Source organism: Homo sapiens, chromosome 17 (genome assembly GCF_000001405.40).
Source record: "Homo sapiens chromosome 17, GRCh38.p14 Primary Assembly".
Classification (NCBI taxonomy): Eukaryota; Metazoa; Chordata; class Mammalia; order Primates; family Hominidae; genus Homo; species Homo sapiens.
In genome coordinates this window covers 11,677,256-11,692,562 of record NC_000017.11, presented here as the reverse complement: position 1 = coordinate 11,692,562, position 15,307 = coordinate 11,677,256, and the positions used below count along the sequence as shown (strand labels likewise).

Sequence of the window (15,307 nt, the reverse complement as noted above, 5' to 3'; positions counted from 1 at the left end):
TGGATCTAACGTTCTTTCTGGACCCCTGCAAAAGTTTATATAACCAAAATGAATTTTCCCTCAGCAAATATACTCCTTTGATGTCAAAAGTAATCCGTTGTCAACATTTTTCCCAGACATACACACTCACAGTATCATTGAAATGATTGACAGACTAATATATGCAATTAGCTTCAGCCAAATACATGGCACCTGGTGAGGTGGTAGAGCTTGTGGTATTATTATTACATAACAACAATCATAATGGTATGTGCCATGTGAATTGTTTTAATGAAGACTCTGGAATAGATACTAGTATTAGTCCCAGTTTACACACAGGGAAACCAAGGCATTGAGAGGTTAAGTGTCCTGCCCAAGGTCCCACAGCTGCAAGTGAGAGAATGAGGACTCAAGCCCAGGCCTGCCATTCCTTCCCTCTGTGATCCTGCCCCTTGCCCAAGAAGACCTAAAAACAAGAGGGTAGGCTGGGCACAGTGGCTCAAGCCTGTAATCCAGCACTTTGGGAGGCTGAGGCGGGCAGATCACGAGGTCAGGAGTTCGAGACCAGCCTGGCCAACATGGTGAAACCTCGTCTCTACTAAAAATACAAAAATTAGCTGGGCGTGGTGGCACTCATCTGTAATCCCAGCTACTCAGGAGGCTGAGGCAGGAGGATCACTTGAACCCAGGAGGCAGAGGTTGCAGTGAGCCGAGATCGCACCACTACACTCCAGCCTGGGTGACAGAGCAAGACTCCGTCTCAAAACAAAAACAAAAACAAACAAAAAAACACAAGAGGGCAAAGTAAATTATGATTCCTCAATGGGATATTTTGCTCCAATTAAAAATAAAAAAGTATCAAGGTTGCAGAAGTATCTGAAATATCTGGCATAAATGTTCAAATGAAAAAAGTTGAATAGAAAATTATAATTACACTGAGAGCAATTATGTAAAAATATGTATATACATGAACCAAAGTTGGGAGAAATTCATAATGAATGAATATAGTTACCAGTTAGGGTGTTAGAGCCTGGCTGATTTTATTACGTTTTCAAATTGTTTCTGTTTCATTGTTATTACAGGGAAAGTAAATGTGTTTACATATTTTATACACAAACCTGTGGCACTGTGTAGAGGTTAATGATACTAACTCTTCAATATTTTTAATTAAAAGTTCTCAAACATCTCCCTTAAAGTTTCTGCAAGAATCTCCACCTCTGTCCCGGCCCCCTTTTAATTAAGCCTTGTCTGCTTCAATCACTGGCATTTGAGATGAATAAAATCTGGCTTATTCAATTTGACTTAATGACAACTGCCATACAGAATTGTTTTCTATTACTTTTCACTGCAAATATACAACCTTTAATCTATAGTATTACACTAAATATGCTTTTTGGGATTAGCAGGAAAACTATGTTTGGGCAGAACGTGCTTTAATTTCTAACCAAAGCCTGGACAGCCCGTGACATTTTGGAATCAAGCTAATTTGTAAGCAAAGAACTTGCTGTACTGAAAGAATATAGAGGAAGCCTAAAGAAAAAATTTAAAAATGAATCAGAGTCCACTGAGAGAGGGGTAAGTTAATGGCACATTAATTAGAACTAATTAGAAGGGGCAATCAAACACAGGGAAGGTAATAATGAGAAGAACACATATTTTAGGGGAATCCATTGTTTGGTGTTTAGCTGACAGCTGGTAGTTGGAGCGCTGGCACAGGTCAGCGGTTTATAGAATGGCATGCTGCTGAGAAGGAACTTGAATTTGCCTGGAAACGAGACTCGCTTTCAGTGGACACTTGAATTTTAACGATCCAAGAAGCAACCTGTGAGGACCTCATTCCAAACTGCAGTAGCCAGTATTTTTTTTTAATCTTTCTTATATATACATTTTTTTTTTTCTGAATGAGGTTTTCCTTTCTTTTTCCTACCCATTGAAGGACAAACTGATTGGTGTGCATTTCACTGTCCCTCTTTTCCTCTGCCTAACTTTTGGTGGCAGGTAAGGTGAGCATCTGTGGGAAGTGCCTTTAAGTAAAGTCAAAGCAAGGAGGCAGAAAAGGAAAGAGCCTAGACAATGCAGGAACTGGGTGACCTTCCCTTCACCCTGGATCAGAGAATAGAGAGATTCTAGATTTCCTTAGCAGGTACCTGGGGTAGCTGTGCCCGAATATCTTCAGATCCAGTGAATATGCTTTCCAGGTGAGTCCATGTTCGCTGCACTTCAAACCAGATAGAGATGACAGCGTCCACTGTGGACAGCTTCTTCTGCCAGCCCGACACCTCCTCCAAGAAGAAAGCAACATACTTGGACATCACCAGGTTCTGAAGTTGAACTTGATTATCCTCCAGAACCTCTATGAGGTCCTCATCAGAGCACAGGAGGGGGACATTGGTCCGTGGGTGGGGCTCATACTGGAATTCCATGCCAGCCCAGGTAGTCTGCAGCTCCTTTAAGGTTTTCTCCATACCCATCTCTTTTGCAGCTTTGTCCACAATGCCCCGGACCTCATCCTCATAGTGGTGCAGCTGGAGCTGCAGCAGGTGCGCTAGGGTGGTGTCCTGGTCCATAGTGAAGCTCACACCGGTGGCCTGCATCAGCTGCCTCCAGTGCCGCTCCCGGATGGCTGGATTCTGCAGCTCAGCTACTGCCCTCAGGGAGCTCAGCGTGTTCCACACAGTGCTTTCCAGGCCTGTGAATGCATCCCAGGCCCTGACCTCCTTGTCCAGGTTTCGGATATGCCGGGCAAACTGTTTGCACTCCAACTCCATGGCTTCCACGTTGATATTCCTCCAGGGTGTGGTCTCCCAGGCATGGATGCTGGAGGTCACCATTCCAATGGTGTCCCAGAGCTCCTTCAGCTGGCAGACCTCCTTCCTGCACTGCCTCAGCTGCTTATAGTCAGGGACATTGACTTCAAATAAGCTGGCAGACTCAGAAATGGAGGCCATAGTGGATTCCATCTGCTGGATCTCGATGTGCCTGGCATCCAGCATTTGATGAGGGTGGATGCTATCAAACCTACAAAACACAGTGTGTTCCTTTGTAAGTATGGCACGCAGGGGCCCATCTCCTAGCATCTCTAAGGTAGCAACCAGCTGAAATATTTAAATGCTTGGTGTTTTAGGAAAGAGCAGTGGCTTTCACCAAAAACATTCTTTTCACGAAAGCAAATAATGTCTTTTCTTCCCAGGATTTTCTTTTGGGAAAAAAAAAAAAACACACTCAGGACAGACTGGGGTGGAGTGGGCATTGGAAGAAGGGCAATTCAAGAACATTATGCTTGGATGTTCTCCACTCAGGTCTAGAAGGGAATACCCCCTTATCCAAGCCCCTTTAGACTCTGCCCTTCATCTAGCTGTTGGTTCTGAAGACCATTTGACACAAAAGAGCACTGTCATATTACAGCAGAAGCCGGAAAGCCAAGGGCCTTGCCAGGAACCTAGTGATAGGTGATTTCTTAAATTTATTTTTTATTTTTATTTTTTTTTTGAGACAGAGTCTCGCTCTGTTGCCCAGGCTGGAGTGCAGTGGCGTGATCTCGGCTCACTGCAAACTCTGCCTCCCGGGTTCAAGCAATTCTCTGCCTCAGCCTCCCAAGTAGCTGGGAATACAGACACCTGCCACCATGCCTGGCTAATTTTTGTGTTTTTAGTAGAGACGGGGTTTCACCATGTCGGCCAGGCTGGTCTTGAACTCCTGACCTCGTGATCCACCCGCCTTGGCCTCCAAAAGTGCTGGGATTACAGGCACAAGCCACCAAGCCTGGCTTGGTAGGTGATCTTTAAGTGGGAGAGCTGGGACTCAGGAGCCCAACCTTGACCCTCCCTCCATTGATCACTCTGGGGCAGTGGCTATCAGCCTGGGCTGCATGTCATGATCTTCTGAAAGCTTTGTAAGATCCCCATGCCCAGACTGCTCTATAGACCAACTAAATCAGAACCACTGGGGGCGGGACCCAGATGCACTCCACAGGTGATTTCCATTTGCCAGGATGGTGTCATCATTCATGGTGAAGCTCACACTGGTGCCTGCATCAGCTTCAGGCAACAGCACTTCATGCTGGTGAACCACTGTGAGTGGCCATGAAGACTGGCTGCAAAGCCCTTGATAGATAATCGTGGTCACTTTCCTTCACTGTGTGCCTTGAATCTGGCTCCTCATCTTCATGAGTTCCTCTCCAAGCTGTCCCTGATCTTCCAGTTCTGCCTTTGCCCTTCCCTGGGCCACTCCCTTCTGCATCCTGGGGCAGTCTCTGGGCTTGCACTCGACACCTATGAGCACCATTTCTAGCTTTTTAGTTCACATTTCCTCATCCTCTTCTCTCCAGTGTTTATGGCATGCAAGCACCTGAAACTGCTTCTAATCCTCGTAAGTCTGGACAGACTTTAGGCTGCCATACAGCAAAGCATGCGTTCCTGCATAGTGTTTTCCCCAACATAAGACCCTACATGCAAAGGAACCCATGTAGGCAGATGGCTTTTTCTTTTTTTTTTTTTTTTTTGGCTTACTGCAATCTCCGCCTCCCGGGTTCAAGTGATTCCCCTGCCTCAGCCTCCTGAGTAGCTAGGACTACAGGCACACACCACCAAGACTGGCTAATTTTTTGTATTTTAGTAGATACAGGGTTTCACTATGTTGGCCAGGATGGTCTCCATCTCCTGACCTCATGATCCACCTGCCTCAGCCTCCCAAAGTGCTGGGACCATAGGCATGAGCCATCCCGCTCGGCTGCAGATGGCTTTTTTATGGTCAAGGGCACTCATAGCCCTAGTGTTCAAGGACCCTCTCATTTTCTCCTCCAACCCCACTTTATTATACTCACTCTCATCCTCAAGCTCAGGTTTTCTTGCTTCTGTGTGCTTGGAGGGCTACATACTAGACACACCACAGCTTAAGGGAGAATGGTATGTTTTGCTAAAATCAAAACACGTCATCATGGGGTTCACCATCAAAGGGAAGGTTGTGAGGAAATGACTAACTAGAGAATCGGCCGTTTCCTCCCATCAACAGTGTGTGTGTGTTTCTGTGTGTACATGCATGTGTTTGCGTGTTGGTAGGTAGAATACAAAAGGAGTGAAAAAGGAAGAAAATGACATACAAACTCTTGTTTTTCAACTGCCCTTTCTCTGTTGACTTTAGAAATATTTGACTTGACAGATGGAAAGTAATCCTAATTGAAGTCATTTACCCGAATGCTTACCACTTAAGCCTAATTGCCATGCAACAGAATAACAGTTATGCATACTATTAAATTAGTGTCAGATTAACTTCGACGCTCGTTATGTTTGAATCCTGCTTGTTCAATCTAAATTGTTTTTGGCTCAGGTGCTATGGTTGTAGATTTACATCTTAAGAGAATGGGACTATCATTTGCATGCCTTCTCTATTATTTAGCTCCCACATATTTCAGAACAGAAGGTCAGAGTGCTCAGAGTTGAAAAGGGCCCTGTCTCTCTACATATATATAGAGAGAGGAGCTTTCTCCCTTATGAGGAAGAAAGAACTAGGAGGAAAGAAATGGAAGGTGCTCATGGCAAGGGGCCCAGCAAAAAAGATCACCAAGGGTGAGGAGTTCTTGTGTTTATTCTTCATTTCCAAAGACTAATCGTTGGTGTGTGTAGGTTCCACTTTTTATCTTGACTAGAGTGAACTTAGAATGTGAACTGAACCTCTTGATGTTAGTTAAAATTCAAGCAAATTCTAAAAGCCCACATGCTGTTTAATTTGTTAGTGGAACACCATTTAGGAATAACTTTTTAGGTAAGATAGGAGCTATTTGGGGTGCACATGGAAGATTAGAAATTATCTTGCTAACCATTCTTCCTTTGGCACCCATAAGCATTCTTAAATCGATGTTGGTTCCTCAAGTATTTATAAGAGGTGAATGTTTATCAAACTTATTCCAAACTTCATCCACCCTGCGGCATAATTTTTGTTTATAGTTTAGATTTGTGGGTGATCATTTTCTGTAGCTAAGCACACATAAAAACCAACTTGGCCTAAGTTGTGAAGGGAACCCATAGATGTGTAGCCTTCTTATGATTTCAAACCTTTACAGCAAATTGTCAGGATATTCATAGACCTCGTCCACGTGCCTAAAAAGCTGGAAGCCATCCTCTAAACTCTGGGGAAATGATACAGTATAAGAACAAGAAAGCAATAGGAGGGAAAAGGGTGGGTTGAGTCTTTGAAGTTGAAATAATAAGGCAAAATGTATTTTACTCTAAAAGAGAAATGCCTGGAAAGCTTGGATGAATAAAACTATAATTAAAAGAAATGAAAATACGGCGCTCATGCATTTGATCGTGGAAAAATGACTGATTCAGGCCTGACCCAGATGTGAGCCTAGAGAGAGAGGAATAAGTGAGCTAAATTGATTCCTGGGAAATTGCCTGTTGGTAAATGGGAATCTCAGTACCGTCTGTATCTGTGTATACCATGAACGGTGTCATACCTGTCCTTGATACCCACCAGGTAGCATAAAACTCAACGTGTCTCATGCCTGTAATCCCAGCACTTTTGGAGGCCGAGGCGGGTGGATCATGAGGTCAGGAAATCGAGACCATCCTGGCTAACAAGGTGAAACCCTGTCTCTACTAAAAATACAAAAAATTAGCCAGGCATGGTGGCATGCACCTATAGTCCCAGCTACTCGGGAGGCTGAAGCAGGAGAATCACTTGAACCCGGGAGACGGAGATTGCAGTGAGCTGAGATCCTGTCACTGCACTCCAGCCTGGGTGACAGAGCGAGACTCCGTCTCAAAAAAAAAAAAAAAAAAAAATTAATGTATCCAACCCTGACTTTGTGAGGCGCAGTCCTTCCAATTCTGTGCCCGCCTCAGTGAACAGTGGGATAAAAGCTCTTCCGACCACTTGTCCAAGCTAGAAGATGAAAAATCCCCTTACACTCTCCTTCTCCTCCATCTCCCACATTCAATCAATCCTGCAGATATTCTCCTAAATCTCTCTGTAATCTATTTTCCCCTCTCCCTCATCTCTGCCACTGCTTCTGATCAGGCCTCACCACTTCTCATCTGGGCTGTTGGAACCACTCTCCCATTGAGCACCTGGTTTTGAGCCTACCTTGCCCCATTCTGTTCTCTGCAGCCATGAGAAGGTGGTCTTTACATTATGTTTTTGTCATACTTAGACTCCTCAGTGGCTGAGATTATGGTCAAAACATGGCCCCCTCCATTCTCCTCTCCTGCTTCCTGCATCCCAGCCATACACACATGCAGTTTTCCAGCTGTTTCTTACATTTTCATCCTTCTGCATCTTCGTATGTGCTATTTCCTTTGCCCAGAATATCCTCATTTTGTAACTGTTTTTTTTCCCCCTGAAACAGCTCTTACTTGCCACTGGCTCTGGCTCACCATGATAAGCACCATGTTCTAGGGGAGGTGTGAACTGCCTCCCTGGGCGGGGTTAAAGCTGGTGCCCAATGTGCATGCCTTATTGCTCATTTTTGAAATTGTCCCTGAGGCTATAAGTCCTTGAGGTCAGGAAAGGTGTATTATCTCAAAATCCTAACAGCTACATCCTTTTTTGCTGGCTCCACTGCTGAGACCATAACCTCATCTACTCCATGAAAGCCTAAATCCTGTGAATGAGTCAGGTTAACTGGAAGAACAGGATCAAGCTGAATGAATGACATATCTTAGGAAACCGATATGTCTCTGGGAGGTTTAATGACAAATATTGCCCTTTTCTGCAGTTATGGAAGAGACAGCAGACACTGTGCAAGAAGGTCAAAAGCCCTTCTTTCCTCATGACTGCTGCCTTGGGCTATTTGGAAAGCTGTTTTCTCTAGTTGTCATGTAGGACAGCACCCCATGGAAGATATCTTCAAGAAAGCCCTCCCAGCCATTCATAGAATCTGGTCGCCTGCTGAAAACACGAATGGTCTTCATTGAGCTGGAGCTCACAGAGGTAGATTATTTTGGCTCAGTAATCCCTCGATTACCTTGGTCTTGGTGTGGGCAAGAAGACTATATGTCATGGTGACGTTTCTTAAGGTCAAGAGGACTGTGCTCAAGGTCAGGAAGACCAAACAGTGAAACACCACTAGAGCATGGGGGCATTCCTTTCATTCAAGAGGGAGAACTGGTCACCAGCTTTAAGAGTTGCACAAAGCCCTTGAATCTGAGTAAGATGATTTAGCCAATTACTGTGGTGAGAGCTCGGCTCTCACCGAAATATGGTGTTATAATTTAGAGTTAAGAACTAAAGGAGGAGCTGAAATTTGACTTGGACATGAAGAACCTCAACCTATGCAACCTGACTTCACACAGCACCTGTCAGACTGCAAGGGCTTAATAAGACACTCAGGTTTTTTTTCTCTCCTCAAACACGAGAACATTCAAAACTGAGCTTAATCTGTGTAACCTAATCAGGAGCAGAAACTTGCATCCACAGAGAAATGTACCAGGGTCTGCACTTTAGAAATTTATAAATGATCTAAAAGTGAAGAAACCAGAATTAAACTCAAACTTGAATTCACAGAAAAATATACCAGGGCCTGCAACTTAGAAATTCATAAATAACTTAACAGTGGAGAAACCAGATTTAAACTCACATGCCACACATAATACCTACAAATTTTGAACACTCACACACACCAAACTAAGAAAGAAAACAAAACACATAAGTTGACATCCACTAAGATTCGCTTTAGTGATAAATCTACAATTCCATTTTAGCTCTGATGTTTTTCTTGACAAGAAGAGAAATACACCAAAATTGCAGAAATGTTTGGTTTCCCAGCAGTTCTTTTCAAAGCATCCTCTTCCAGGGATTCATCTGCATGTCAAATTAGCAGATGTGAATTTGGAACACCCAGCTAAGAGTAGCAGTATCCTCACAGCCAGCAGATACAAGTGCAAAGAAAGAAAAACGAACACAACTATCAAATAAAAATAAAATGAAAAAACAAACAGGAGTTGATCAATACACAAAATATACCCATGAAGGAGGAATACCGAATTTCGAACAGACACAAAAGCACACCAATGTTGTTTCCCTTTCAAGCAGTCTTAGAAGTCTCTTTGGGAGGATATTTTCCCCAACATCTTTGAATTTTTTTCTTTTTTGAAATTATCTTAAGAGACTGTTGGGCCGGGCGTGGTGGTTCATGCCTGTAATCCCAGCACTTTGGGAGGCCAAGGTGGGAGGATCACGAGGTCAGGAGTTCGGGACCAGTCTGACCAACATGGTGAAACCCTGCCTCTACTAAAAATACAAAAATTAGCCAGGCATGGTGGTGGGCACCTGTAACCCCAGCTACTCAGGAGGCTGAGGAAGGAAAATCACTTGAATCCAGGAGGCGGAGGTTGCAGTGAGCCGAGATCGTGCCATTGCACTCCAGGCTGGGTGACAGAGTTAGACTCTGTCTCAAAACAAAACAAAACAAAACAAAAAGAGAGAGACTGTTGGTGCAAAAATATTAGTGTCTTTATTTTTATGGCTGTTGCCTTTGGAGTGGTTGTTGTTAACACTAAGTAGTATTACCTAGCTGGAGAACTTACCTCCTTCAGCAGTTTTGGCTCTGAATTGGTGTTCAATTTCAAAAATTCAATTGCATGCCCAAAAAAGAGTCAGAAGAATAAGCCTCAGACTCTGAAAGATAGTCCCCAAAGGAGTCTACAAGGGTTTTGAGCAACAGATGATTCTTTGGAACAAGGGCGTGGCTCCTAAGGCAATTATTCTAAAGGGATACAGACTTAGGAGTTACATTCCTCCTCATGATTGCTTGAAAGGAAACCAATTACTTCCCTTTAGGGTGGTGGTTTCCAAACTTGGCTGCACATTGGAATTCCTGGAGCTTACAAAATACTGATTCACAGGTCTCGCCTCCAGAAAGTCTAACTTCATTAGTATATAGGACACACTGGGCATATTGGGAGTTTTAAAATCTCTCCAGGTGATTCTAAATGTGCAGCCCAACTGGCAGCACATTGCTTTAGAGTCATATGTTTTATATATTTATATCTTATGTCTGTTTTACACACTTGTCCTTCCCCGCCTCTTAACCTACTCATCTTATTCTCTGTTACCCCAAGTATAATGCTTGGGAGATAGCAGCTGCTTAATAAATGTTTGAAGAATGAATGATAAAAATAGGTATGCCAGGCTGAGTGAGCAACCATCCAGTTTGCCCAGAACACAGGTGCTTCCTAAGACATGAGCATGCTTGTAGTCCCAGCTACTCAGGAGGCTGAGGTGAGAGGATTGCTTGAACCCAAGGAGTTCAAGGGTGCAGTAGGCTATGATTATGATGCTGCACTCCAGCCTGGGTGACAGAGCAAGACGCTACCTCGAAAATGCTGCTATCTCCCAAGCATTATGCTTGGAGTTACAGAGAGTAAGATGAGTATGTTAAGAGACAGGGAAGGACAAGTGTGTAAAACAGACATAAGATATAAATATATAAAACCTATGACTCTAAAGCAATGTGCTGCCATTTGGGCTGCACATTTAGAATCACCTGGAGAGATTTTAAAACTCCCAGACAACAACCAGAACGATCCTGGACAAACCAGTACAGTTTTTCACCATAGTACCAGACACAGTGCTACACACTTTCAAGAATGATCTCTTTAATTCAACCCACAACTATATGTGGTGGACACTACTATCATCTACATTTTATAGATGAGGAATCTGGAGCACAAAGGTATTAAGTAACTTTGTCATAACATAAGAAGTAAGTAGAAGACCTGAAATTAGACCCCAGGCCACCTGAATCTAGCATCTGTGCACTTAATTTTTATTGAACTTCGTTCCAGTGAAGTTGTATTTTTTTTTGTTTGGTTTGTTGCTTTAATATTTCTGTGGGCAAATAACCTTTGAAAATAAAAACATTCCTCACTGTAAGCATCGAGAATTTTCCAGTTTGGAGATTTTGAAGTCTGTCTACCCAACAATATAGAGGAGACCCAGCAAGAAAGGAAGCTCAAGGAAACAGGAAACAAATCACAGAGCTGGAGCGTTAGGGCAAAGGGCACCCAATCTAGCTGGCACATCAGCAGATGTAGGACCATTGAGCTCCAGCTTGGCCTCCTGGTTGGAGCCGTTGATGCTGAGCAGTGGACCAGAAGCAGACCGCTTCACCACGGGAGGAAATCCCTGAGAAAGGAGCCCAAGTATGTGCAGCGTGGGCATGGATGAATGGTGTTGCTGATCCTAGAGTTGCTTTGTTTATGTAAAGACCTGTCATAACAAGCAGGGAGGTGTTGGAACCAAGCAGAGAGAAACCCCCTGAAGAAAACCTTCACCTAAATCCTTCCTTTATGCTGCCAAAATGAAATGCTCTGTAAAATTTTAAAAATTCAATCAGCCACTTTTTAAAACCAAAAGAACAGTCTGTGAGAACTTAGAATGCTAAAGGTTTAGTAAAATCCTAGTAATTATACCACCTATCATCCCTTTATAAACTTGGAGGCACAAAGATGCTTCTAGATATATATGCATCTTTTTAAGGCAAGATGTTTGTACAATCCTTGGCCTTTTCATACAGGTCATGATAGGATTCAGTCCACATTAGCACCACGTTTCAACCAAAGGTCCTAAATGGGAAGGAAGATTATTAACTGGTCTGCAGCTGCTGGAAGAATACACACGCCCCACAAAAAGATTATCCATGACTCAAAGACTGCAGTGTTCACAGAAAGAGAGGCAGCAGTGTTCGGCCCATACCTGAACGGGGCTTCTTTGTGGAATTGCTCCCAGAATTGCTGCTGTTCTGCATCGAAGGCTGTGCACCTCTGGCGGAGGAGTGTCACTTCATTTGCCTGCAGTGGGGCCACCTGCTGCTTCACAGTAATGGCCACCTTTTTTATGTTGTTCCATTTCTCAGGCAGCTCCTGCAAAGGAAACCTCAGTGTGGTCAGATTCCCAAGGTGCTCTTTCCTCTCCCATAGTCCTGAGCTGGACAGAGCCCAGATGCTTCCATCTGTGCTACAAGATGGTACAATGGTGTGGTGGTGTCATCTTCCCATTCCCTACAATCTGCCCTCCACCCACTCTTCCTCGACTTCCTTCCGCAGCTGCTCTCAACTATTACCTACCACTCACTCTACACTAACCTTCTTGCTCTCAACCTCTGGTCCTCTAAGCCCTCTAAATTTGTGAAAACTTGGAATGCTAAAGAGACTTTTAGATTTTTCTTAAAGGAAGATGTTTCTACAATCTTCGGTTTCTATTGCTTCTACCATATTTCTACTGAAGCTACATTAACCCCTTCCCTTTTCTATATTCTTCAGGGTTGCTTGGTTATTTTCTTTTATGTCCCACATTACCTCTTGGACCATCTTAACATATTTCAGATCTGCTTTTTTTTTTTCTCAACCAAAACATTGGTTCATTTCTATGGAGAAAAATTATCCATCTTAATTCTCCCATCTATCTCCAGCATTGCCTTCTCCCATATGTACTGAGTTTCCAGAATTTGCTAGATGTTACAAATACGCTACACATTATAGTTCCAAAACACGGATCTTGCAGCTCCAAGCCCTGTTTTTCATTTGCTGTACCCCACTTTACCCCATTCTGAAATCCTAAAATGTTTCCTCTATTTCTTTTATAAGGAAGACATAAATGCACTGACCTCCAGCTGCTTAAACACTGTTTCTGGCAATTCTTGTTCATAGGTCTTCAGCAATTCAATAGTCTGCTTTAAGGGCTCAAACATCTCATCAGTGTTACTCTGCCGTTCTTTAACAGCCATAAGGTGTCCCATGATCTCAACCAAGCCTTGGAAATCTCCTTTTTCAACTTTCTTGAGTAAGCCGCTCTCACTCTTCTTTATAAACGCATCCAGGTTGGCCAAGCTAATCAACACAAACAGAACATGAGGAACCATTCTCGTTCTACTTCTCGAAAGGCAGATGTATTGATTTCCCCAACAAAAATATCTATCATTATGAAAATCCTACCACATGCCCAACACTTGACTAAGCACTCTGCATAGACTATGCTCTGATGTTAAGAATATGGCCTCTTGCACAAGGTGTTAAGGTTACGAATGGCAAAGACTGAGGCCTATCTTGTGATGAAGGAGACTCAGGAGGAGACACGACATCTAAATGTAATGTGTGATTTGGATAGAATCAAGAATGGAGGTCATTTCAGAGGTTCTCTGAGCGCACTCAAAATCTGTGATAGGTGCAGACCTTTGTATTGAATGCTGGATTCAGAGAAGTGGCAAAATTTATGAACTGGATAACATGAGAATTATGGCTTGCGATAGCATTGCTTTGTGAAAAGAAGCATAGAAAAAGCTTCCAAGAGGTGTTTGCTGGCAATGCATAAATGATCATATGTTGATGGAGAATTCCAGGAGAAAGAAGCTCATAATTTTCAGTAGGCCTTTATATCACTTTACTATATGGCAGGAAGAAACAAACATTTTTAAGTTGACAAATCAAAAACTGTCTTAAGATTATACTCTAATAAACATATTTTAAAACAATAAAAGAGAAGGCTTAAAATGTGAAAAATAACAAAGAACAAAAACAAGCAAGCAAAATTATACAATAACTGAGTAGAAGATCTAAAAATGGAAAATATAATTATAATTTAAATTTCAACAAAGCTGAAAAGGGATTAGACTGCTGTATGATATACGTGGAGCAGTTTCTAAACTGCAGGGTAGAAAGAGAAAAAAGGAAAAATATGCAAGTTATTAAAAGACAGGAGACAATGAAAACATCACACATAAGTATAACAAAAGTGCCAGAAGAACGAAATAGAACAAACAAGAGCAACATTTGAGAAGAGTCTAGCTAAACATTTTCTAGAATTGCTGAAAGACACGCAATGTAAGATCAAGAAAGCCCAACAAATCCCAAGCAGAATAAATATAAAGGAACCCTCATATAAACACTTCACTATGAAACTACAGATTACCAAAAGAAAAAAAAAATCTTAAAATTAGCTTCAGAGCAAAGACAAGTTTCTTAAAACAACGACAGCACACATACAACAAAAACAAAACTAGACTGATAACCGACTACTCGGCAACACAAATGGAAGCCAGGACACAGTAGAATAATATTTTCAATAATCAAAGAGAATTTATGTTATTCTTGAATTCTCCCCTCCACAAAACTATTTTTAAAGAACAAGGGCAAAATGAATACATTTCAGACAAAGAAAGAATGAGAACACTTCATCAATAGACCTTTACTAAAGGAACTTCTAATGGGATATACCTCAGTCAGATGTCTGGACTATAGAGCAATAATGGTAAGTATGTTGGTAAATCTAAATAGGAGGCCGAGGCGGATAGATCACAAGGTCAGGAGTTCAAGACCAGCCTGGTCAACATGATGAAACCCTGTCTCTACTAAAAATACAAAAACTAGCCAGGCATGGTGGCCTGTGCCTGTAGTCCCAGCTACTCGGGATGCTGAGGCAGAAGAATCACTTGAATCCGGGAGGCAGAGAGGTTGCAGTGAGTTGAGATCATGCCACTGCACTCCAGCCTGGGCGACAGAGCGAGACTGCATCTCAAAAAATAAAAAAATAAAATAAATAAATAATAAATAAACATTTGGTGTATATATAGATATATATATATAGTTCCTGGGGCTTAAATAAATAATAGAGAGCAATCTAAATTACTAGGAATGATAGAATATAATTTGATGGATGAACAGGAGACATGAAACTATTCTAAAGTCTTTTAATCATTGTGAAGAGACTAAAAATAGTAATAAATTTACTTATTTTAAGGATGCTTATTAAAATAGCAGTGGTAAGCATTAGAACAGCAGAGCTACATGGCATGACATTCAAAGTAGCAGAGGAAAAAATGGAATAAGGAAAATAAAAGAAAACATGAAAAATTATACCCCAAAGCAGACAAAAAAGGAAGTCAATGAAAAAGAAAAAGAATAGCAAACTAAAAGAACATAATAAAATGGTAGATTTAAATTAAAATGTACCACGATCAATGTTAATGAACAAAACCCTCCAGTTAAAAAATACATATTGCTAAAGTGGATTTAAAAAATCAGTTCTATGCTCATTATAAAAATGTCTTCTAATGGAAGGGCACAGCAAGGTTGAAAGCCAAAGGATAAGAAGAGATGCACTAAGCAAATGTCACCAAAGAAAAATTGTTTTAGCTACATTAATAGAAGACAAAACATACTTTAGTACAAGACATATTGCTAGTGATAAAGAAGATGTTTAATGTTTGGTTAAAAGGCTCAATGTTCCAAGAAGATATAAAAAGTCAAAATCTGTATGCCTATAACATAACCTTAAAATATATGAAGCAAAAATTTACAGAATTACAAGGAGAAATTGACAATATACCACTAAA

The 15,307-nt window shown here is 41.8% G+C and overlaps 1 protein-coding gene across 6 annotated transcripts in view; it reads right to left on the bottom strand.

Annotated features, from left to right (window-relative positions):
- DNAH9 (dynein axonemal heavy chain 9) overlaps nt 1-15,307 on the bottom strand; it is a 371,279-nt gene that overhangs the window by 277,186 nt on the left and 78,786 nt on the right. For all 6 annotated transcript variants that reach the window (XM_011523703.3, NM_001372.4, XM_017024292.3 and 3 more), the window contains 3 exons: nt 12,584-12,806; nt 11,674-11,840; nt 2,127-2,997 (listed from right to left, as the gene is read on the bottom strand). In XM_011523703.3, the coding sequence (XP_011522005.1) occupies nt 2,127-2,997; nt 11,674-11,840; nt 12,584-12,806 (1,261 nt within the window). The remainder of the gene's footprint in view (nt 1-2,126; nt 2,998-11,673; nt 11,841-12,583; nt 12,807-15,307) is intronic.